Source organism: Homo sapiens, chromosome 1, assembly GCF_000001405.40.
Source record: "Homo sapiens chromosome 1, GRCh38.p14 Primary Assembly".
NCBI lineage: Eukaryota > Metazoa > Chordata > Mammalia > Primates > Hominidae > Homo > Homo sapiens.
In genome coordinates, this window is record NC_000001.11 from 35,063,742 (window position 1) to 35,088,285 (window position 24,544).

Genomic DNA, 24,544 nt, shown 5'->3' on the forward strand with positions numbered 1-24,544 from the left:
TTACGTGAACAAGATTCAAAGTTCTGAGAAGGATCACCTGATTGGACAAGTTTAGGTCACATGCTAACCTACTAGTTCTATCAGGAAAGAAATATAGGAAGGATCTGTCCGTCTTTACTTCCACTGTGAGAGGTGGCACTAAAAGAGAAGGCAGAAGAATTTCCCTCACTGATAATGGAGAATTTCCCTAAAAGGGAGATCAAGGTGTTTACAGATAGGTGGAGAGATAGATGCTAGATAGCCCGAAATGATAGATATCCAGTACATCTGTAATCTGCATGGATTTAAAAAAAGAAAGTTTCAGCCGGGCACAGTGGCTCACGCCTGTAATCCCAGCACTTTGGGAGGCCGAGGCTGGTGGATCACGAGGTCAGGAGTTCAAGACCAGCCTGACCAACCTGGTGAAACCCCATCTCTACTAAAAATATAAAAATCAGCCGGGCGTGATTGTGCACATCTGTAATCCCAGCTACTCAGGAGGCTGAGGCGGGAGAATTGCTTGACCCCAGGAGTTTAAGGCCAGCCTGGGAAACACGGTGAGATCCTGTCTCAAAAAAAAAAAAAAAAAAAAACAAAAAACACTGAAAGGAGAAATAGACAAATCCACAATTATAGTTGGAAACTTCAACACTCCTCTCAAAGTAGTTGATAGAAACAGTAGACAGAAAATGAGCAAGGAAATAGAAAAATTGAATAACATCAAACAATTGGATCTAATTTACATTTATAGGACACTCCACCCAACAACAGTAGAACATACATTCTTTCAAGTACATGAGGAACATTTACCGAAATAGACAATATCCTGGGTTATAAAACCATAACAAATTTAAAATAATTAAGATAATAAACATTTTCCCTGGTCATAAAGAAATTAAATGAGAAATCAATAACAGAAAGATAACAGGAAATCTCCAAACATATGGAAATTAAACAATATATTTCTTTTTTTTTTTTTTTTTTTTTTGAGACAGGGTCTCTGTCGCCCAGGCTGGAGTGCAGTGGCGTGATCTCGGCTCACTGCAAGCTCCACCTCCCGGGTTCACGCCATTCTCCTGCCTCAGCCTCTCCGAGTAGCTGGGACTACAGGCGCCCGCCACCACACCCGGCTAATTTTTTGTATTTTTAGTAGAGGCAGGGTTTCACCGTGGTCTCTATCTCCTGACCTCGTGATCCGCCTGCCTCGGCCTCCCAAAGTGCTGGGCTTACAAGCGTGAGCCACTGCGCCCGGCCTAAACAACGTATTTCTAAAACTTCTAAACACACTGACCATGGATTAAAGAAGACTCAAATAAAATTAGAATATTTTAATTGAACAAAAAAATACAATTTATCGAAATTTGTGGGATACAACTAAAGCAGTACAATTGACCCTTCAACAATATGAGTTTGAACTGCATGGGTCCACTTTTATATGTAGGTTTTCTCCCCGCTGCCACCCCTGAGATAGCTAGACCATTGTCTTCCCTTCCTCCTCCTCCACAACCTACTCTGCCTGAAGATGAGGAGGATGAAGACATTTATGACTGGTTCATTCCCGGCTTTCGGCACCAAAAAAAAAAAATGACTTTTATGACCCATTTACACATAATGAATAATAAATATATATTCCCTTCCTTTTGATTTTTTTAATACCATCTTCTTTTCTCTAGCTTACTTTATTGTAAGAATATAGTATATAATACATACAGAAAATATAGTTAATTGACGTTTATGTTATTGGTAAGGCTTCTGGTCAACAGTAGGCTGTTAGTAATTAGGTTTTGGGGGATTCAAAAGTTACACATGAATCTTCGGCTGTGCAGGGTGGTTGGCCAAGAGTCAACTGTATTTAAAGGGAAATTTATGGCATTAATTCGTTAGAAAAGAAGAATGATCTCAAATAAATAATCTAAGCTTCCATCTTAAGAAGTTAGAAAAAAAAAAGGAAAATAATTCCAAAGCAAGCAGAAGGAAGGAAATAAAGAGCAGAAATCAATGAAATTAAAATAGGGAAAACTGATAAAACCAAAACTTGGCTCTTTGGAAAGATCAGTAAGATGGATAAACCTCTAGCAAGACTGATAAAGAAAAATTAGAGTAACCACAACTTATTAATATCAGGAATGAAAGAGGGGATATTGCTACAGGGCACACAAACATTAAAAGGACAAAAATACCACTAACAACTCTACCCATAAAAATTCAACAATTTAGGTGAAATGGACCAAGAGTTCAGAAAACAAAAACTAGCAAAACCCATCCAAGATAAACCAGATAAGCTGTTCTATACAAATTAAATAAATTGAATTCGTAGTTTAACATTTTCTAAAATAGAAATTTCCAGGCCCAGATGATTTCACAAGGAATCTATAAAAAAAACCTCCTACAACTAATAAATATGTTTAGTAAGGTTGCAAGGTTAACACACAAAAACCAATTGTATTTTTATATACTGGCAATGAACAATTAGAAAATAATTTTTTGGTTTTTTGAGACGGAGTCTCTCTCTTGTTGCCCAGGCTGGAGTGCAGTGGCCTGATCTCGGCTCACTGCAACCTCCAACTCCTGGGTTCAAGCAATTCTCCTGCCTCAGCCTCCCAAGTAGCTGGGATTACAGGCACACGCCACCACGCCCAGCTAATTTTTGCATTTTTAGTAGAGATGGGGTTTCACCATGTTGGCCAGGCTGGTCCTGAACTCCTGATCTCAGGTGATCCACCTGCTTGGGCGTCCCAAAGTGCTGGGATTACAGGCATGAGCCACTGCACCTGGCCAAAAATAAAAATTTTTAAATGGCATTCACAATAGCTCAAAATATGAAATAATTAGATATAAATCTAATAAAACATGTTCTGTGTTGTATGCTGAAAGGAATAATGAAAGAAATTAAAAGAAGATTTAAATAAATGGTGAGCTATAGGTGTTCGTGATTGAAAGACTTAATGTAGTAAAGACACTGATTCTTCCCAAATTGATCCATAAATTTCACACAATCAAAATCTCAGCAAAGGTGGTAATTGCACCTGTTGCACCTATAGTTCCAACTACTGAGGAAGCTAAGGTAGGAGGATCACTGGAGCCCAGGAGTTCAAGGCCAGCCTGGGCAACATAGCAAGACCCCATCTCAAAAAAAAATCTCAGCAGAATTTTTTTGTAAATATAGACAAGCTGATTCTAAAATGTTATGTAAAATCAAGGGAACTAAAATAGTCAAAACAATTTTGAAAAAGATCAAAGTATTTAAATATTTTTATTTACTTATTTAATTATTTTGAGACAGGGGCTCACTCTGTCACCCATGCTGGAGTGCAGTGGTGCAATCTCGGCTCACTGCAACCTCTGCCTCCCGGGTTCAGGTGATTCTCTTGCCTCAGCCTCCTGAGTAGCTGGGATTACAGGCACACGCCACTACGCCTGGCTAATTTTTGTATTTTTAGTAGAGATGGGATTTCACCATGTTGACCAGGTTGGTCTTGAACTCCTGACCTCAAGTGATCTGTCCACCTTGGCCTCTCAAAGTGCTGGAATTACAGGCATGAGCCACCGTGCTCAGCCTAAATATTTTTATTTAAATAAAAATAAAGCTCAAGGTCTCCTTCTGTTGCCCAGGCTGGAATGCAGTGGTGTGATCACAGCTCACTGCAACCTCTAACTCCTGTGCTCAAGCAATCCTTCCACTGCAGCCTCCCAAGTAGCTGGGACTACAGGCATGCACCACCATGCCTGGCTAATTTTTTTTTTAATTTTGTAGAGGGGAAGGTTGGCAGTGGGGGTGAGGGATAAAAGACTACAAATAGGGTTGCAGTGTATACTGCTCAGGTGATGGGTTCACCAAAATCTCACAAATCACCACTAAAGAACTTACTCATGGCCGGGTGCAGTGGCTCACTCCTGTGGTCCTGGCATTTTGGGAGGCCGAGGTGGGTGGATCACCTGAAGTCGGGAATTCGAGAGCAGCCTGGCCAATATGGTGAAACCCCATTTCTGCTAGGGATGCAGAAATTAGCCAGGCATGGTGGTGCGCGCCTGTGGTCCCGGCTGCTTGGGAGGCTAGGGAGGGAGAGTAACTTGGATCCGGAAGGCGGAGGTTGCAGTGAGCTGAGGTTGCACCATTGCACTCCAGTCTAGGCGACAAGAGCAAAGTTCTGTCCAAAAAAAACAAAAAAACAAAAAACCTTATTCATGTAACCAAACACCACCTGTACCCCCGATAACCTATGGAAAAATGAAAAAATTTTTTAAATTGTAGAGACAGGGTCTCGCTATTTTGCTAGGCTGGTCTTGGACTCATGGTCTCAAGTGATCCTCCCTGCTTGGCCTCCCAAAGTGCTGGGATTACAGGCGTGAGCCACAGCACTCAGCCTAAAATTTTTAAGACTTACTGTATAACTACTGTAATCAAGAAATTGTGTTGGCCAGGTGCAGTGGCTCATGCCTGTAATCCAAGCACTTTGAGAGACCAAGATGGGAGGATCATTTGAGGCCAGGAGTTCAAGAGCAGCCTGGCAAACATGGCAAAACTCCGTCTCTACTAAAAATACAAAAATTATCCAGGTGTGGTGTCAGGCGCCTGTAGTCCCAGCTACTCAGGAGGCTGAGACACAAGAATTGCTTGAACCCGGGAGGCAGAGGTTGCAGTGAGCCAAGATCACACCGTTGCACTCCAGCCTGGGCAACAGAGTGAAACTCTGCCTCAAAAAAAAAAAAAAAAGAAAAGAAAAAAGAAGAAGAAGAAAAGAAACTGTGGTATTTGCAAAGGGATAGACACATAGATTCATGTAACAGAGGGTAGACAGTCAAGGAGAAATGCAGACGAATATGGCCAATTGATTTTTGACAAAGGTAAAAGGGAAATTCCATGAAGAGACAGCAGACTTTTCAACATATGGTGTTGGAACAACTGGAAATCCATACGCAAAAAAAAAAATATATATATATATATATAAAACTACACCTCTCATCTCACACAAAAATTAGCTCAAAATGGATCCTAGATCTAAATGTAAAATATAAAACTATAAAATTTTTGGAATAAAGAGTATGAGAAAAATCTTCATAACATGGGATTAAGCAAAGAATTCTTAGATGTGACATCAAATGGAAGTCCTTTTTTTCTTTTCTTTTCTTTTTTGAGATGGAGTCTTGCTCTGTCACCCATGCTGGAGGGCAATGGCGTGATGTTGGCTCACTGCAATCTCCGCCTCCTAGGTTCCAGCGATTCTCCTGCCTCAGCCTCCCAAGTAGCTGGGACTACAGGTGCGCCTGGCTAATTTTAGAGACGGGGTTTTTTAGTAGAGATGGGATTTCACCATGTAGGCCAGGCTGATCTCAAACTCCTGACCTCAGGTGATCTGCCTGCCTCAGCCTCCCAAAGTGCTGGGATTACAGGCATGAGCCACCGCACCTGGCCTGGAAGTTCTATTTTTAATATTTTGAGGAACTTCTATCCATTTTTCTATAGTGGCTGTACTAGTTTATAATTTCACCACAGTGTGTAAGTGTTCCCTTTTCTCCATATCCTCATTGACACCTGTCTTTTTGTCTTTTTGATTATAGTCATTCTAACTGAAGTGAGGTGTTATCTCATTGTGATTTTGATTTGCATTTCCCTGATATGTGATGTTGAGTATTTTTTCGTGTACCTGTTGGCCATTTGAATTAATTCTTTTGAGAAATGTCTCTTAAGTTATCTTGTCCATTTTAAAATCAGATTATCTGTTTTTTTGTTGTTGAGTTAACTTCCTTATATATTCTGGATATTAACCTTTTGTCAGATGTATAGTTTGCAAATATTTTCTCCCATTCTATAGATTGTCTTTCTTCACTCTATTGTTTCCTTTGCTGCACAAAAACTTTTTAGTTTGATGTAGTTCCATTTGTCTATTTTTGTTTTTGTTGCCTGTGCTTTTGAGGACTTATTTTTTTAAAAAAATTGCCCAGTCCAATGTTATTAAGCATTTTCCCTGTGTTTTCTTCTAGTAATTTAATGGTTTCAGGTTTTACATTTAAGTCTTTAATTCATTTTGAATTGAATTTTGTATATGGTGAGAGGTAGGAGTCTAGCTTCATTCTTGTGCATATGCATATCCAATTTTCCCAGCATTGTTTATTGAAGAAACTGTCTTTTACCCAATGTGTGCTCTTGGCACCTTTGTTGAAAATCAGTTAGCTGTAGGTGCATGACTTTATTTCTGGGCTTTCTGTTCTGTTCTATTGGTCTATGTGTGTGTGTTTGTGCCAGTACCATGCTGTTTTGGTTACTATAGCTTGATAGTATATTTTGAAGTCTGATAGAATAATGCTTCCAGCTTTGTTCTTTTTGCTCAGGATTGCTTTAGCAATTTGGAGTTGTTTGTGGTTCCATTTGAATTTTTAGATTGTTTTTTATATTTCTGTGAATAATGTCATTGGTATTTTTGTAGAGATTGCATTAAATCTATAGATTGCTTTGGGTAGTGTGGGGATTTCAACAATATCAATTCTTCCAATTTGTGAATATGGGATATCTTTCCATTTATTTGGGTATTTTTCAATTTCTTTCACTAATGTTTTATGGTTTTCCATGTAGAGATCTTTCACCACCTTAATTAAGTTGGTTCCTAGGTATCTTTTTTGTAGCGATTATAAATAGAATTGTTTTCTTGATTTACTTTTCTAATAGTTCACTATTAATATATAGAAACACTGCTGATTTTTCTATGTTGATTTTGTATCCTGCAACTTTACTGAATTTGTTTATTGGTTCTAACAGATTTTTGGTGGAGTCTTTAGATTTTCTATATATAAGATTATGTTGTTTAAAATAAAAACATTATGCTGTCTTCAAACAGAGACAATTTGACTTCCTCCTTTCCAATTTAGATGTTTCTTATTCCTTTCATTTGCTTAATTCTTCTGGCTAGGACTTCCAGTACTATGATGAATAGGAGTGGTGAAAGTGGGCATCCTTGTCTTCTTCCTGTTCTTACAAGAAAAGCTAATATTAGCTGTGGGTTTGTGATATATGATAATGTTAGCAATAGGTTTGTCATATATGGCCTTTATTGTGTTGAGTTACATACCTTCTATGCCTAACTTCTTGAGGGTTTTTTTTTTTTAATCATGAAGCGATGTTGAATTTTGTCAAATCCTTTTTCTGCATATATTGAAATAATGGGTTTTTGGTTTTTGGGTTTTTTTGAGATGGAGTCTCACTCTGTTGCCCAGGTTGGAGTGCAGTGGCATGATCTTGGCTCACTGCAACCTCCACCTCTCAGGTTGAAGCAATTCTCATGCTTCAGCCTCCCAAGTAGCTGAGATTACAGGTGTGCGCCACCACACCCAGCAATTTTTTTAATATTTTTAGTAGAGATGGGGTTTCGCCATGTTGGCCAGGCTGTTCTCAAACTCCTGACCTCAGATGATCCGCCTACCTCAGCCTCCCAAAGTGCTGGGAATACAGGCATGAGCCACTGTGCCCAGCCTTCTATTTGTTAATGTGATATATCATATTGATGTGAATATGTCGAACCATACTTGCATCCCTAGGATGAATCCCACTTGTTCGTGGTGAATGATATTTTTGATGTGCTTTTGAATTTAGTTTGCTGCCATTTATTTATTTATTTATTTATTTATTTTTGGAGTCAGGGTCGGGTCTCACTCTATCACCAAGGCTGGAATGGAATGGCGCAATCATGGCTCACTACAGCTTTGACTTCCCAGGCTCAAGTGATCCTTCCACCTCAGCCTCCTGAGTTGTTGGGACTGCAGGTGCATGCCATCATGCCTGGCTAACTTTTCTAATTTTTTGTAGAGACAAAGTCTCAGTATGTTGCCCAGGCTGATCTCTAACTCCTGGGCCCCAGCAGTCCTCCCACCTCAGCCTCCCAAAATGCTGGAATTATAGTCATGAGCCACTGCACCCAGCCTTCCAGTTTGCTAGTATCTTCTTGAGAATTTTGCATTTATGTTCATCAGGGATATTGAACTGTAGTTTTGTTGTTGTTTTGTCTTTGTATGGTTTGGAATCAAGGTATTGCTGGCATCTTAAAATGAGTTTGGAAGTATTCCTTTCTTTTCAATTTTCAGGAATGGTTTGAGAATAATTGACATTAGTTCTTCTTTAAATGTTTGGTAGAATTCAGCAGTGAAAACTGGGCGCAGTGGCTCATGCCGGTAATCCCAGCACTTTGGGAGGCTAAGGCGGGCAGATCATCTGAGGTCAGGAGTTCGAACCAGCCTGACCAACATGGTGAAACCCTGTCTCTACTAAAACTATCAAATAAGCCAGTGGTGGTGCATGCCTGTAATCCCAGCTACTTGGGAGGCTGAGGCAGGAGAATTCCTTGAACCCAGGAGGTGGAGGTTGCAGTGAGCCGAGATCACGCCATTGCATTCCAGCCTGGGCAATAAGAGAGAAACTCCATGTCAAAAAATAAAATAAAATAAAATTCAGCAGTGAAGCCATTGGGTCCTGGATGTGTTTATGTTTTGGAGTTTTTTTGATGGCAGACTTTTTATTACAGTTTCAATTTCCTCACTCATTTTTGCTCTGTTCAGATTTTCTATTTCTTCATCATATAATCTTGGCAGGTTGTATTTGTCCAGGAATTTAATCTTCTAAAGTTTATTGGCATATAGTTGTTCATGATAGTCTCTTATGGTCCTTTGAATTCCTGTGATATCAGTTGCAGTGTCTTCTTTTTCATCTGTCATTTTATTTATTTGGGTCTTTTCTCTTTTTTGCTTGGTTAGTCTAGCTAAAAGTTTGTTAATTTTTTTTTCAGAAAACCAACTCTTCATTTTATTGATCTTTTGAATTTTTTTTAGCCTCTATGTTTTTATTTCTGCTCTGAGCTTTATTATTTCCTCCCTTCTATCAATTTCAGGTTTAGTTTTTTCTTGTTTTTCTAGTTTCTTGAGGTGCATGGTTAGGTAGTTAATTAGAAATATTTCTTCTTGGCCAGGCGTGGTGGCTCACACCTGTAATCCCAGCTCTTTGGGAGGCCACGGAGGGTAGATCTCTTGAGGCCAGGAGTTCAAGACCAGCCTGGTCAACATAGTGAAACCCCATCTCTACTAAAAATACAAAAAAGGCTGGGAGCAGTGGCTCATGCCTGTAATCCCAGCACTTTGGGAGGCCAAGACAGGTGGATCCCCTGAGGTCAGGATTTCCAGACCAGCCTGGCCAATGTGGTGAAACCCTGTCTCTACTAAAAATACAAAAATTAGCCAGGCATTGTGGTGGGAGCCTATAGTCCCAGCTACTTGGGAGGCTGAGGCAGGAGAATCACTTGAACCTGGGAGGCAGAGGTTGCAATGAGCTGAGATTGCACCACTGTACTCCAGCCTGGGTGACAGAGTGAGATTCCATCTCGAAAAAAAAAATACAAAAAATACGAAAAATTAGCCAGGCATGGTGGCACATGCCTGTAGTCCCAGCTACTCAGGGAGCTAAGGCATGAGAATTGCTGGAGCCTAGGAGGTGGAGGTTGCTGAGATCACGTCACTGCACTCCAGCCTGGGTAACAGAGCAACACTCTGTCAAAAAAAAAAAAAAAAAGGAAAGAAAGAAGGAAGGAAAGGAAAGGAAGAAGGAAGGAAGGAAGAAAAAAAGAAAGGGAGAAAGAAAGAAAGGAAGGAAGGAAGGAAGGAAGGAAGGAAGGAAGGAAAGAAAGGAAAGAAAGGAAGAGAAATATTTCTTCTTTTTTAGCCAGGTATGTTGACACATGCCTGTAGTCCCAGCTACTCAGGAGGCTGAGGCAAGCAGATTGCTCAAGTGAAGGAGTTCCAGGCTGCAGTGAGCTATGATCACACCACTTCACGCCAGCCTAGGTGATAGAGTGAAACAAGAAAGAAAGGAAAGAAAAAAAGAAAAGAAGAAAAGAAAAGAAGGAAAGGAAAGGAAACAACAAAGAAAGGAAATAAAAAAAGAAAAGAAAAGAAAAAAAGGAAAGGAAAGGAGGAAGGAAGAAAGGAAGGAAGGAAAGGAGGGAGGGAGGAAGGAAGGAAGGAAAATCATTTCTCTTTTTTGATCCATTTTTTGGTAGGAACTTCCCTCTTAAAACTGCTTTTCCTGTGTCCCTATGATTTTGTGATGATGTGTTTCCATGTTGTTTGTCGCTCTGTCCCCCAGCCTGGAGTGCAGTGGTGAAATCTTGGCTCACTGCAACTTCCGCCTCCCAGGTTCAAGCGATTCTTCTGCCTCAGCTGGGATTACAAGTGTGCGCTATCATGCCCAGCTAATCTTTTTCTGTATTTTTAGTAGAGATGAGCTTTCACCATATTGGCCAGCCTGGTCTCAAACTCCTGATCTCAAGTGATCCACCCACCTTAGCCTCTCAAAGTGCTGGAATTACAGGTATGAACCACCGTGGCTGCCCTCAAGGAATTTTTTAATTTCCACTTTAATTTCTTCATTGACCAATTGGTCATTCAGGATCATCTTGTTTACTTTCCACACATGTGTAAGATTTCTGAAGTTTTTCTTATTGTTGATTTTATACCATGTGGTCCAAAAAGATACTTGCTATGATCTCTATCTTCTTAAATTTGCTGAGATTTGTTTTGTGGCCTAATATATGGTCTATCCTGGATAATGCTCAGTTGAGAAGAATGTGTATTCTGCAGCTGTTGGATGGAATGTTCTGTAAATGTCTGTTAAGTCATTTGGTCCATGGTGTAGCTAAAGTCTGATGTTTCTTTGTTGATTTTCTTTTTTTTTCTTTTTTTTGAGACTCTGTCACCAGGCTGGAGTGCAGTGGCGCCGTCTTGGCTCACTGCAACCTCCACCTCCTGGGTTCAAGCGATTCTCCTGCCTCAGCCTCCCAAGTAGCTGGGATTACAGGCACACGCCACCATGTCCAGCTAATTTTTGTATTTTTAGTAGACATGGGGTTTCACCATATTGGCCAGGCTGGTCTTGAACTCCTGACCTCGTGATCCACCCGCCTCAGCCTCCCAAAGTGCTGGGATTACAGGCATGAGCCACCGCACCCAGCCCTCTTTGTTGATTTTCTAGCTAAATGATCTATCCATTTTTGAGGGTGGGGTGTTGAAGTCCCGTACTGTTATTGTATGCAGTCTATCTCTTTAGCTCTAGTAATATTAGTTTTATATATTGGGGTGCTCTGGTGTTGGACACATATATATTTTTTTTTTTTTTAATTTTTTTGAGACAGTGTCTCCCTCCATCGCCCAGGCTGGAGTGCAGTGGCGCGATCTCGGCTCACTGCAAGCTCTGCCTCCTGGGTTTACGCCATTCTCCTGCCTCAGCCTCCTGAGTAGCTGGGACTACAGGCGCCCGTCACTGCGCCCAGCTAATTTTTTGTATTTTTAGTAGAGATGGGGTTTCACTGTGTTAGCCAGGATGGTAGCACATATATATTTATAATTGTTATATCCTCTTGTTAAATTGACCCCCTTGTCATACATAATGACCTTGTCTCTTTTTACAGTTTTTGACTTAAGTTCTATTTTATCTGATATAAGTGTGGCTACTCCTGCTTACTTTTGGTTTCTGTTTGCATAGAAAATCTTTTTCCATCCTTTCACTTTGCTTGTGTTTGTCTTTAATGGTGAGGTGAGTCTCTTGTAGGCAGCAATATGTTGGGTCTTGCTTTTTTGTTGTTTTTTGTTTTTTTTGAGTCAGAGTTTCACTCTTATTGCCCAGGATGGAGTGCAATGGCACAATCTCAGCTCATTGCAACCTCTGCCTCCTGGGTTCAAGTGATTCTCCTGCCTTACTTCCACTCACATAAAGGAAGCCCCGGATTGGTTTATAGATGGCAGCCATCAAAAAACCCTCCCCTCCAAGAGGATATGCCATTACTGAGGGATATCATGATGATACCCACTCTCTCCCACCTAGAAGAGTTGTAGAGGCTGCCCCCTTGCCTTTGGGCACATCCTACCAAAAAGCAGAAATTAATTGCCCTAATAAGAGCATTAACCCTAGCAAAAACCACACAAGTTAATATATACACCAATTCCAAATATGCCTATAACATCAACCATTCCAATGCCCAAATGTGGAGCAAGTGGGGCTATCTCATGGTTAAGGGAACAACTATCATTAATGGAAAACCAATCCATCATCTACTAAAGGCAGCTTTACTTCCAGGAAAGGTTGCAGTTATTCATTGCAAAGACATCAATCAGATAAAAGCTACATTTCTTTAGGGAACTGTGAGGCTGACTATTGTGCTCAACCAATCACCCAATTCCCCAATACCTATTTCCCCTCATACAACATATCCCCTCCTTTTATCCAGAACACCAAATACAACAACTAATCATGGCAAGGGCACAATTCAAACCCCCATACTGGTTCATACAAAACAAATTAGTCCTACCTGACCCTGAAAAAGCAACTCTTTCACAGGACATTCACAACCTCTTCCACACTAGCCATTGCCCTCTACATTTCTTAAGTTCCCATATACACATAACCCCAGATATAAAGGAACAGTTAAAAGCCATTCCCCATCAACGCTCTATTTGCCAGAAAACTTCACCCCACTGCAACACTAGACCCCCTTCTTTCCCAACCTGTCAAGCCAGGGGACACCTTCCAGGACAGGACTGGCAAATTGATTTTACCCATATGCCCCCAGTAAAAAAAGGTTCAATTTCTGGCCGGATGTGGTGGCTCACACCTGTAATCCCAGCACTTTGGGAGGCTGAGGTGAGCGGATCACTTGAGGTCAGGAGTTCAAGGCCAGCCTGACCAACATGGAGAAACCCCATCTCTACTAAAAATACAAAATTAGCTGGGCATGGTGGCGCATGCCTGTAATCCCAACTACTCAGGAGGCTGAGGCAGGATAATCACTTGAACCAAGGAGGTGAAGGTTGCGGTGAGCCAAGATTGCGCCATTGCACTCCAGCCTGGCAACAAGAGCGAAGCTCCATCTCAAAAAAAAAAGAAAGGAAAACAAATGAATCAGCCAGGCACGTTGACTCACGCCTGTAATCACAGCACCCAGGGAGGCTGAGGTGGGCAGATCACTTGAGGTCAGGAGTTCAAGACTGGACTGGCCAACATGGCGAAACCCCATCTCTACTAAAAATACAAAATTAGCTGGGCATGATGGGGCACTCCGGTAGTCCCAGCTACTTGAGAGGCTGCAGCAGGAGAATCGCTTGAACCCAGGAGGCAGAGGTTGCAGTGAGCCACCAAGATCACGCCATTGCACTCCAGCCAGGGTGACAAGAGCAAAACTCTGTCTCAAAAAAAAAAAAAAAGAAAAGAAAAGAAAAAGAATGAATCAAGCTTCCTATCTCCCAGAGCTCTCCTCCTATTCCTTAGGACTTAATCTTTCAGCCAGTATAAACTATTGAGACTTCAGGGCAAGAAAGACGCATGAAACTTGTGACCTACATCTACTGCTTGAAATATTGGGCCAAATTTTCAGATCTATCACTGGGGGTGGTTGGAATATCACATCTCAAAATTATCACACATCCTTACAATTTTTTATGATATCATGAATCCTACCATTTTTTCAACTCAACTCCCAAGGAAGTTAGTAATGACGATGAAACCACCATTGCAAGATTATGACTGAGACCATGAAGGAGATCTAACCTAATGGACTCCATCTTGGTTCTAACTTTAAACTGTCCTTGTTCCTTCCTGGGCATAGGCTAAACTAACTTTGGGAGGAATTTAGTTTATAGTTTAAAACAAAGACAATAACAGCCCTTTCCCAAAACAAACCTCCTCCTTGCCTGGGGACTAGACTGCCTTTATAAGATTAACAAATTAGCCACAAGATTAGAAATTATGGTTTAGGAGTCATGCAGCTGGAGGCCAAGATTCTGACCCTCCCTAAACTGCTCCTGAGACCAGTGCTTGAGATATTTTGCAGACCCTGCACTTGATGGATCAGCTGGTACCACCCAGATAGATAAACAGGCTCATCTGATCTTGTGGCCCCCACCAGGGAACTAACTCAGCGCATGAGGACAGACAGCTTCAACTTCCCATTATTTCATCTCCTACCTAACCAATCAGCGCTTCTGGCTCACTGGCTTCCCCCCACCCACCAGTTGTCCTTAAAAACTCTGATTCCCAAATGCTCGAGGAGACTGATTTAAATAATAATAAAATTTCAGTCTCCCGCACAGCTGGCTCTGCGTGAATTACTCTTTCTCTATTGCAATTCCCCGTCTTGATAAATGGACTGTGTTTAGGTAGCGGGCAAGGTGAACCCACGGGGCATTTACAATGACATCACTTGCCTTTGGATGCCCACTGAACCAGGACTCATTTCTGGGTTCCAATCTAATCCCAGTCACTGAGTTGCTGTGTAACTTGGGGCAAATTACCTTTATCCTCTTGCCTTCAGCTTTTCCTTTGGTAGGAAGGGAGCATTAGAGGAGAGATCATTTCAGTAAGGTCCTTTCTAATCCTAACAGTCTAAACAGATTATTATGAATATTAGAAGGTAATAATAAATGTTGGAGAAATTAACTTCAGTTACTCGTATAATATTTCAAATTACCAAAGGGTTTATATTAGATTTGAGGCTAATTCCAAAGGATATTTAAGGACCATAGCAGCAAGGATTAGGAGGCCCTTTTGGTCTGGACCTCACCTTCACAAGGGCCTCAAATTTAGATTTTTGAGAATATCTCCTTTAAAAGTAATTGTCAAATATGATTATAATAAGTTCATCATTCAACCTTATATATATATTTTAGAATCCTCTTATGCCTTTAGGAATAGCACAGTTAGTTCGTCCTATACTTTTTTAGGTGTTGAAAGTATTGTCAAAAAACATTTAAAATATGCCATTATTTTTGACATGCAGTTTGGGGTTATTTTAATTTTTTTTTTTTTTTTTTTTTTTTTTTTTGAGACGCAGTCTCTCTCTGTCGCTCAGGCTGAAGTGCAGTGGTACAATCTCAGCTCACTGCAACCTCTGCCTCCTGGCTTCAAGCGATTCTCCTGCCTCAGACTCCCAAGTAGCTGGGATTACAGGCGCCCGCCTCCATGCCCGGCTAATTTCTGTATTTTTAATAGAGACGGGGTTTCACCATGTTGGTCAGGATGGTCTTGAATTCCTGAACTCAAGCAGTCCACCCGCCTCGGCCTCCCAAAGTGCTGGAATTATAGGTGTGACCCACCACACCCAGCCTGGGGTCATTTTAATTTTAACGTACTAATGAAAGAAGTCTGAACTCCCTCCCTACCTCTGAGGATAATTTCCTTTTACTAGGAATTTACTCTGCAACTGGCACTTTGCTAACATTGCCTGTCATATTTTTTTTTTTTGAGTCCAGCTTCTGCAGAAGCCTGCCTAATGTTTACAAACCTACGATGCAGCCACTACAATTATCCCCATTTCAAGGTCGAAGAAATGGAGATTTATAGAAGTTGTCAAATCGCTTACTAGCACACAGCTAATAAGTAGTAAAGCCATCTCTCAAATCCAGGAAATCTAACTGCCCTGCCTGAGCTCTGAGTCAAGGGTCCTACTTTGGCTGCCAGCCAGCGACGACTTCAAGGGTAAGATCCTATGCGGGCCGTAAGGACTCTTCCCCTCCCCCTCTCCCACTTCTTCTATCCCAAAGTCGCTCTTCCCAATTCAGGGAGCTGGGACCACCCTGAGCCAGCGGCCCTGCGCATGCTCAACCGCAGAGCACGACGGGAGAGGGGCGGGGTCGGCGGGGCCGTTTCGCTTCGAAGATTGTTTCAGAAGCGTTGGGCGGGGCGTCCCTGAGAGAAATTAGTAAGCCTCCTCATGCGGCTCTGGTTTCGGTCTTTACTCCTGCGCCTTACTCGAAAGGGGCAGGGTTTCTGCTGTCGGTCGGAGGGAGGATGACGCGCCGGGTCGGGGTTTTAGAGACGGAGCTTTGAGTGCGGATTCCGCCAGATGGGGGTCGGGAACTCCGGGCCAGGCCCTGACGTGGATTGTGTTTGCCGCCTCCTTTAACCTTGCCCTCATAGACTGGGGGGGTTAGTGCTCCCCGCTTCCAGCGATTCTCGCCGCCTCCTGCTCCTGTGTAGTAACTGGGCCTTCAGACTTTAGTCTCGCTCCGCAGCCTCCGTTTCAGAAGCCCCATCACACCTGTATCTCTCCTTCATTGAGCAGTGATTTTTCAAAAGTTTGACTCCTGGCCGGGCGTGGTGCCTCAAGCCTGTAATCCCGACACTTTGGGAGGCCCAGGCGGGCGGATCTCTTGAGGTCAGAAGTTCGAGACCAGCCTGGCCAACATGGCAAAACCCCGTCTCTACTAAAAGTACAAAAATTAGCTGGGCTTGGTGGCAGGCGCCTGTAATCTCAGCTACTCAGGAGGCTGAGGCAGGAGAATCGCTTGAACCGGGAGGCAGAGGTTGCATTTAGTCGAGATCGTGCCACTGCACTCCAGAGCGAGACCCCGTCTCAAAAAAAAAAATGAAATGTTTGCTGAACCCCAAAAGCACAGTTTGAACGCTGCTGATTTACAAGATTAATTTTAAGGTATTTGGTATCAGGGACCTTCCTGACATGACCCATGTCTACTTTTCAAACTTTCCAGTTCCTTCTACTAGCACTCTTGCACTTGTACTTTATCTGCAACAACAGTCCCACTCCTTCTAGTTCCCATATATTTGTGCTTCTTTTTTTTTTTTTTTTTTTGGAGACTGGGTCTCGCTCTTTGGCCCAGGCTGAGTGCAGTGACACGATCACGGCTCACAAGCAGCCTCAGCCTTCCGAGCTTAAGCGATCCTCCCACCTCAGGTTCCAGAGTAGCTGGAACAACAGGTGCTCCCCACTACGCCCAGCTAATTTTTGTATTTTTTGTAGAGACAGGTTATCTTCATGTTGCCTAGGCTGGTCTCGAACTCCTGAATCGAAGCAATCCACCTGCTTGGGCCTCTCAAAGTGCTGGGATTACAGGCTTGAGCCACTGTGCCCGGCTATTTGTGGTTTTGTACATGCTGTCTCTATACCAGGAATATCCGCCATCATTGGTTGGTAGACACTTTAAAACCCAGCTCAAATTTCACCTCCCAGAAGACTGACCGTCTTCTTTTTTCATTTCTTCTCAGTACCTTGTATATACTTACTGGTTGGGACATCCTACTCATCAGTGTAACCCGGTACCAAGGCACTTCGGAAATGATGGCTCTTCATTGCCTGCAGAATTAACCATGGACATTTTAGTTTGGTTTGAAAAACATATAGCCTTCTGCCTCCAGCCTTCCCATCAGGCTAGTAAAAGACCTTGCAGAACTCAGTTGAATAAAATAATTTTTTTTTTTTGAGACAGCATTTCACTCTTGTCTCCCAGACTGGAGTGCAGTAGCGCGATCTCAGCTCACTGCAACCTCCACCTCCAGTTCAAGTGATTCTCCTGCCTCAGCCTCCCAAGTAGCTGGGATTACACCACACCTGGCTAATTTTTGTTTAGTAGAGACAGGGTTTCACCATGTTGGCCAGGCTGGTCTAGAACTCCGACCTCAGCTGATCCACCCTCTCAAAGTGCTGGGATTGCAGACAGGAGCCACCGTGCCCGGCCGAATAAAATAAATCTTAGCAAAGTGTAATGTATAAAGAAGTGGTATAATGCGAAGAAATAAGGGATAGGAGTATATCTGCTTCCAGACTCTGTTTTGTTTTTGCTTGTGTCCATACCACACTATCTTAATTTACTGTAGCTTTATAAGCCCTTCCAACATTTTTTTTTTTTGATATTGTCTTGGTTATGCTAGGCTCTGTATGCACATTGTATATACATTAGAATTACCTTACAAATTCCACAAAAACCCCTGCTGGGATTTTCATCTACAGCTTAATTAGGAGAAAAATTAATATTGACTCTTTCCATCAATGAGCATTTATTTAGATCTTCCTTAATTTCTCTCAGCAATGTTTTGTTTTCACTGTAGAGTTCTTTAATAGCTTTCATTAGATTTATTCCTATATTTGATATTTATGATGCTGCAGAAAATGGTTATTTTTATATTTTTCTGTTCTAGTATAAAGAAATAAAATTGATTTTTTGTTTGTTTGTTTGAGACGGAGTCGCACTGTGTCACCCAGGCTGGAATGCAGTGGCACAATCTCGGCTCACTGTAGCCTCTGACACCCAGGTTCAAGTGATTCTCCTGTTTCAGCCTCCTGAGTAGCTGGGATTACAGGTGCCCACCACCATGCCCAGCTAATTCTTTTGTATTTTTAGTAGATACGGGTTTCACCATGTTAGGCTGGTCTTGAACTCCTGACCTCAGGTAATTCACCCATCTCTGCCTCCCAAATTGCTAGGATGACAGGCGTGAGCCACTGCACCTGGCCAAAATTTATTTTCGAATGTCTTGCTAAGCTTAATAACTTGGAGATTCTTTTGAATTTTCTTTGTATAGAATCATGTCATCCATGAATAATAACAATTTTAACTGCCTTTTCAAAGTTTGTCTTTTATTTTTTCTTGCTTTATTGATCTAACTAGAACTTCTACTACAATGTTGAAGATAAGTGATAAGAAAAATTCTAAAATGCGGATCTTGTATTATCCTATAATTCTGCTGAATTCACTTATTCTAATAGTTTCTTTTGCGGGGGGTGAGTTGGGGGAGGTTCCTTAGAGTTTTCTATATGCAGTCATGTCTACAAATAAAAAGTTTTCTTCCTTTCCAACTTTTTTTTTTTTTTAAATGGAGTCATGCGCTGTCACCCAGGCTGGAGTGCAGTGGCATGATCTGGGCTCACTGCAACCTCCACCTCCTGGGTTCATGCAGTTCTCCTGCCTCAGCTTCCCGAGTAGCTGGGATTACAGGCGTGCACCACCATACCCAGCTAATTTTTGTATTTTTGGTAGAGATGGGGTTTCACCATGTTGGCCAGGCTGGTCACGAACTCCTGACCTCAAGTGATCCGCCTGCCTCAGCCTCCTAAAGTGTTGGGATTACAGGCGTGAGCCACCACGCCTGGCCTGCTTTCCAACTTTTATGCTAAATTCCCATCTACTATTTTACTTTAGCTTAAAGAATTTCCTTTAGTGGCCGGGCGTGGTGGCTCACCCCTGTAATCCCAGCACTTTGGAAGGCTGAGGCGGGTGGATCACCTGGGGTCAGGAGTTCCAGACCAGCCTGGCCAACATGGTGAAACCCCGTCTCTACTAATAATACAAAAAATTAGCCAGGAGTGGTAGTGCATGCCTGTAATCCTAGCTACTCAGGAGGCTGAGGCAGGAGAATCACTTGAACCCGGGAGGTGGAGGTTGCAGTGACCTGAGATTGTGCCATTGCACTCCAGCCTGGGCAGCAAGAGTAAAACTCTGTCTCCAAAAATAAAAAAAGAATTTCCTGTAGCATTTCTACAGTGTTTTCATTTGTCTGAAAATGTCTTTATTTTGCTCTTAATCTTGAAGGATATTTTTACTGAATATAGAATTTTAAGTAGATTTTTCCCCAGCACTTTAAAGATATTACATTGGCTTCTGGGGTTTTATTGTTTCTTTTCTTTTTTTTTTTTAAGACAGGGTCTCACTGTCCCCCAGACTGGTGTGCAGTGGCTTGATCACAGCTCACTGTAGCCTCACCCTCCCGGCTTAAGCAGTCTTACCACCTCGGCCTCCCGAGTAGCTGGGACTCCAGATGCATACCATCATACCCAGCTAATCTTTTAATTGTTTTTAGAGATGGGGGTCTCACTATGCTGCCAGGGGGTGGCCTCGAACTCCTGGGCTAAGCAGTCCTCTGTCCTCTACCTCCCGACATGTTCAAATTGCAAGTGTGAATCACCACACCCAACCTTAGTGCTTTTAAGATTTTCTTTTTGGTTTTCACCAGTGTAACTATGACATGCCTACTCGCGTTTTTCTTTATATCTTATTTGTGATTCACAGAGCTTGAATTCATGTGGTTTGATGTTTTTCTTCAGTTTTAGGAAATTGTCCTAAAAAATTGTAGGTATTTTTTGTTTTTGTTTTTTTTCGAGACAGTGTCTCAGTCTGTCACCTAGGTTGGTGTGCAGTGGTGCGATCATAGCTCACTGTAACCTGGAACTCTTTCCTGGGCTCAGGTGATCCTCCAGCCTCAGCCTCCCACATAGCCTGTACTACAGGCATCCACCACCATGCCCAGCTAATTTTTCTAATTTCTTTGTAGAGATGAGGGTCTCACTATGTCACCCAGGCTGGTCTCGAACTCCTGGGCTCAAACTCCTGCCTTGGCTTCCCAGAGTTCTGGGATTATAGGCGTGAGCCACCTTGCCTGGTATTTTCTTTCAAATACTGCTTCTTTTGCATTGTCTATTTTCTCTTATCCTAGAACTGAATAAGAGATCCCACGTGGCACATTATTCTAGATTCTTATTCTAGAACTGAATAGGAATCCCACATGGCACATTATTTCAATTTTCCATCCTTTTATCTCTGTGCATCAGTGTACCTTCTAGCTTGTCTTCTTCACTAATTTGATATTCATCGATTGAATTCTTAACTTCCTCACTGTGTTTTCCAATTCTAGATTTTCCATTTAACTTTTTTTTTTTTTTTTGATGGATGCCAGGTCACTACAGAACTTCTCCATCTTTCCTCTGTTTTCTCAAACATAACCAAGTCCTTGCCTGACAAGAACAATATCTGAGTCACCTGTGGGTTTGTTTCTATTGCCATTTTTTTCCAGTCAGTTTTGGGATTTTAAAAATTCCTCTTAGTCCATAAATTATTACTGGATTCTGGAAATTTTGGATGAACATTATTAGCATCCGGATGTACTTCCTTCAAAGCAGACTAAGGTTGCCATTAGGCACGTGGATAGTAGTAGCAGATGACATTGATCCTGTTGAGGGTTGATTATAGGTCTTGTTAAGACTGGTCTATTTCAGTTTGTCCTTTCTTCTTGGAAGTGGTCTCTTTTCCTCCTGGGGCATAGCCATTACTCCTAGGGCAAGGCCCTCCTTGAGTCTCAACCCGAAATCCAGGTCTTTACCAAAACCCCTCTATCTTGCTGGTCTTAAATTTCAACTCTCAACTCAGCATAGCTGCTATAATCTTATTAGCTCTTTGACGTTTAACTGCTGTGTTCTGTTAAGTTTTTGAAGTCTCACTCTGTAAATGTGCAGTTTAGGAGTCCGCCAATGACTTGGAGGAGGGGAGATTTCTATGCATATTATTTTTCTGTAGTTCCCTCCTCTCCCAGATTGTGCCTCTTGAGTTCCAGCTACTTTAGAATCCAGTACTTCTAACTGTCTCCTGCTGTTTTCTGCTTGGGTTTCCACTATTTTGTCATGGAAAGTCCCCTTACCAGTAAAGTCTGTTAAATTTTGTAATTAATTCCAGTGAAAGGATTTAGTATGCTAAAGGCTACTCTGTTATGCCTGGATTTATCCGTTTTTTGTTTTGTTTTGGTTTGGTTTTTTTTTGGAGACAGAGTCTCGCTCTGTCGCCCAGGCTGGAGTGCAGTGGCACTGTCTCAGCTCACTGCAAGCTCCGCCTCCTGGGTTCACGCCCTTCTCCTGCCTCAGCCTCCGAAGTAGCTGGGACTACAGGTGCCCACTACCACGCCTGGCTAATTTTTTGTATTTTTAGTAGAGACAGGGTTTCACCGTGTTAGCCAGGATGATCTCGATCTCCTGACCTTGTGATCCACCCGCCTCGGCCTCCTAAAGTGCTGGGATTACAGGCGTGAGCCACCGCGCCCGGCCCCCATATTATTTTTACTTCATGCTAGTCTGTTAAAATCTGGAGCTCAGTTGGTTTCCAAACTGCATAGGATCTGATTAGGCAGAAATGACTTTGGCAGGAAGGAAAGCAGTATGAGGACAAGTAAAGTGAGGAGGTTAAGGTGCAGCTGATTCTTTGCCTTGACATCTGTCTCCCTTTCCCTCTGGCCCAAAGAGGAGGATAGTGTTTTCTCCTGTGGTTGTTGTAGATCTCCCTTTGGCTGCAGCTGTCCTTTCCTGACCCTGAAACCACCTCCATGACTACATTCCAGCTTCAGGGACAATAGCCTCCTTCCTTGAACAGTCATTCCTAGAGCTCTCTTGGGCCTGCCCTTTCTTGCCTTTGGTGTGGCACATGCCAGCCACCTAGCTCTAATAGGGAATTATTGTTGTTAAATCAGTATTCTGTACCCCTCATTCCCAGCCTAGTTTTGAAATGTACTTGTGGTTGGAGTGCTAGGTTCACACTGGCCCCTAGCATTTGTGGGGTCCTTGCTAAGAGTATGAATGGAAGCCCACATACTCTGTGTCTAAATATTTAAAAGTTATAAATTAAGCTAACACATCGTGGAATAAAATGAGTTCCATCCTCCTGCCGTGACAAATACACCTTTGTAATGACCAAATAGAAAAACACGTGTAAAGCTGTGGTTTTCAGGACTGAAAGTAAGCAAATTTTCAATGATGACAGAATTCAATTTTATGTATTACGTTTAAACATTGTATTTGGGTTACTCATGGTAAATTGTTATCACAGAAAATATTGAAGATTTGAATTTCATTATATAAATCACTGTCATTCATAATGTGGCTTTTTAAAATCATTTCTTCAAGTCATATTTATATTCATACAGAATTTTAAGGTTTTTTCCCAAAATTTTCAATATATACAGAATTTTAAGGTTTTTTCCCAAAATTTTCAATATTGGGTTATTAGTTTATTTTATTTATTTATTCTGAGATGGAATCTTACTCTGTCACACAGGCTGGAGTGTGGTGGCGCAATCATATCTCACTGCAACCTCTGCCTCCCAGGTTCAGGTGATCCTCCTGCCTCAGCCTCCTGAGTAGCTGGGACTACAGTCTGGGCTATTTATAAAAAGCAGAAAATGACTGTTTGTTGCTAAATTTGTTCAACTCTGTCTCCAATCAAGATTGTAACTTAATCTGTAGCAGTAAAAAAAATAGTCTCTATATAAATTAGTTTTGAGATTATATGTCTGTGAATCTTATTCATCGTCATGCAGTTTCCTTTCATTATTGTAACTGCCTTATATTTCATTGAAATCTCATGCAATTTTTTTTTCAATTAAAAAATTCTTTTTTTTTCTTTTGAGATGCAGTTTCGCACTGTCACCCAGGCTTGAGCGACAGTGAGCTTGATCTCAGCTCACTACATCCTCCACCTCCTGGGTTTAAGCAATTCTCTGCCTCAGCCTCCCGAGTAGCAGGGATTACAGGCGCCCACCACCACGCTTGGCTAATTTTTTTTGTATTTTTAGTAGAAACAGGGTTTCACCATCTTGGCCAGGCTGATTTTGAACTCCTGACCCTGTGATCCACCCACCTCAGCCTCCCAAAGTGCTGGGATTACAGGCATGAGCCACCGCACCCAGCCTTTTTTTTTTTTTTTTTTTTTTTTTTGAGATGGAGTCTTGCTCTGTCGTACCCAGGCTGGAGTGCAGTGGCACGATCTCCACTCACAGCAGCCTCCATCTCCCAGGTCAAGAGATTCTCCTGTCTCAGCCTCCCAAGAGCTGGAACTACAGGTGTGTGCCACCACACCTGACTAATTTTTTGAATTTTGAGTAGAGATGGGGTTTTACCATGTTGGCCAGGCTAGTCTCGAACTCCTGACTTCAGGTAATCTGCCTGCCTCAGGCTCCCAAAGTGCTGGGATTACAGAGGTGAGCCACTGTGCCCGCCCAAAAATTCATTTTTTAACAGTAGTTTGAACCATCAGGGTTATATAAATACTATTGTACTAATTTTCCAGGAGGAATCTGGATGATATCCCCTGGAGGTCTATATGTGTATCTGGAAATAACTCTTGAAACTTGCATTTTCTTTTTTTTTTTTGAGATGGAGTTTCGCTCTTCTTGCCCAGGCTGGAGTGCAATGGCGCAGTCTCAGTTCACTGCAACCTCTGCCTCCTGGGTGCAAGTGATTCTCTTGCCTCAGCCTCCCAAATAACTGGGATTACAGGCATGCCCCACCACGCTCGGCTAATTTTTTGTATTTTTAGTAGAGACAGGGTTTCTCCATGTTGGTCAGGCTGGTCTCGAACTCCCAACCTCAGGTGATCAGCCCGCGTTGGCCTCCCAAAGTTCTGGGATTACAGGCGTGAGCCACCACGCCTGGCCTCGAAACTTGCAGTTTCTTTGTGATCTCGTGTTTTACTTTAAGAATGAATATGGGCCGAGGGCAGTGGCTCATGCCTGTAATCCCAGCACTTTGGGAGGCTGAGGCCGGTGGATCATGAGGTCAGTAGTTCAAGACCAGCCTGGCCAAGATGGTGAAACCCGATCTCTACTAAAAATACAAAACTTAGCCAGGCATGCTGGCTGGTGCCTATAATCCCAGCTACTCAGGAGGCTGAGGCAGATAATTGGTTGAACCTGGGAGGCGGAGGTTGCAGTGAGCTGAGATTATGTCACTGCACTCCAGCCTGGGTGACAGAGAGAGATTCCATCTCAAGAAAAAAAAATGAATGTGAATTTTGTTGTCTGCTCTTATCATATTTCTCTCTTTGGTTTAAATTAAAATATTTTATGGCTGGGCGCGGTGGCTCACACCTGTAATCCCAACACTTTGGGTGGCCGAGGCAGGCGGATCACAAGGTCAGGTGATCGAGACCATCCTGGCCAACATGGTGAAAACCCGTCTCTACTAAAAATACAAAAATTAGCTGAGCTTGGTAG

At 42.3% G+C, this 24,544-nt stretch overlaps 1 protein-coding gene across 12 annotated transcripts in view, besides 1 other annotated feature; it reads left to right on the forward strand.

Moving 5' to 3' along the window:
- ZMYM1 (zinc finger MYM-type containing 1) overlaps positions 1-24,544 on the forward strand; it is a 59,033-nt gene that overhangs the window by 3,956 nt on the left and 30,533 nt on the right. For 11 of the 12 annotated variants that reach the window (XM_047430815.1, XM_047430816.1, XM_047430818.1 and 8 more), the window contains exon 1: positions 15,644-15,701. The gene's annotated coding sequence lies outside the window, so the exon portion shown is untranslated. Of the gene's footprint in view, positions 1-15,252; positions 15,479-15,643; positions 15,702-24,544 lie in introns of those variants that run through there. The other variant, NM_001289088.2, reaches the window with a different exon arrangement.
- Positions 15,551-16,069: an enhancer, noted in NCBI's record as "H3K27ac hESC enhancer chr1:35544893-35545411 (GRCh37/hg19 assembly coordinates)". NCBI's record gives its function as "activates a minimal SCP1, AML or CMV promoter by ChIP-STARR-seq in primed H9 embryonic stem cells {active_cell/tissue: H9 hESC(primed)}" and the evidence as "EXISTENCE:reporter gene assay evidence [ECO:0000049][PMID:30033119]".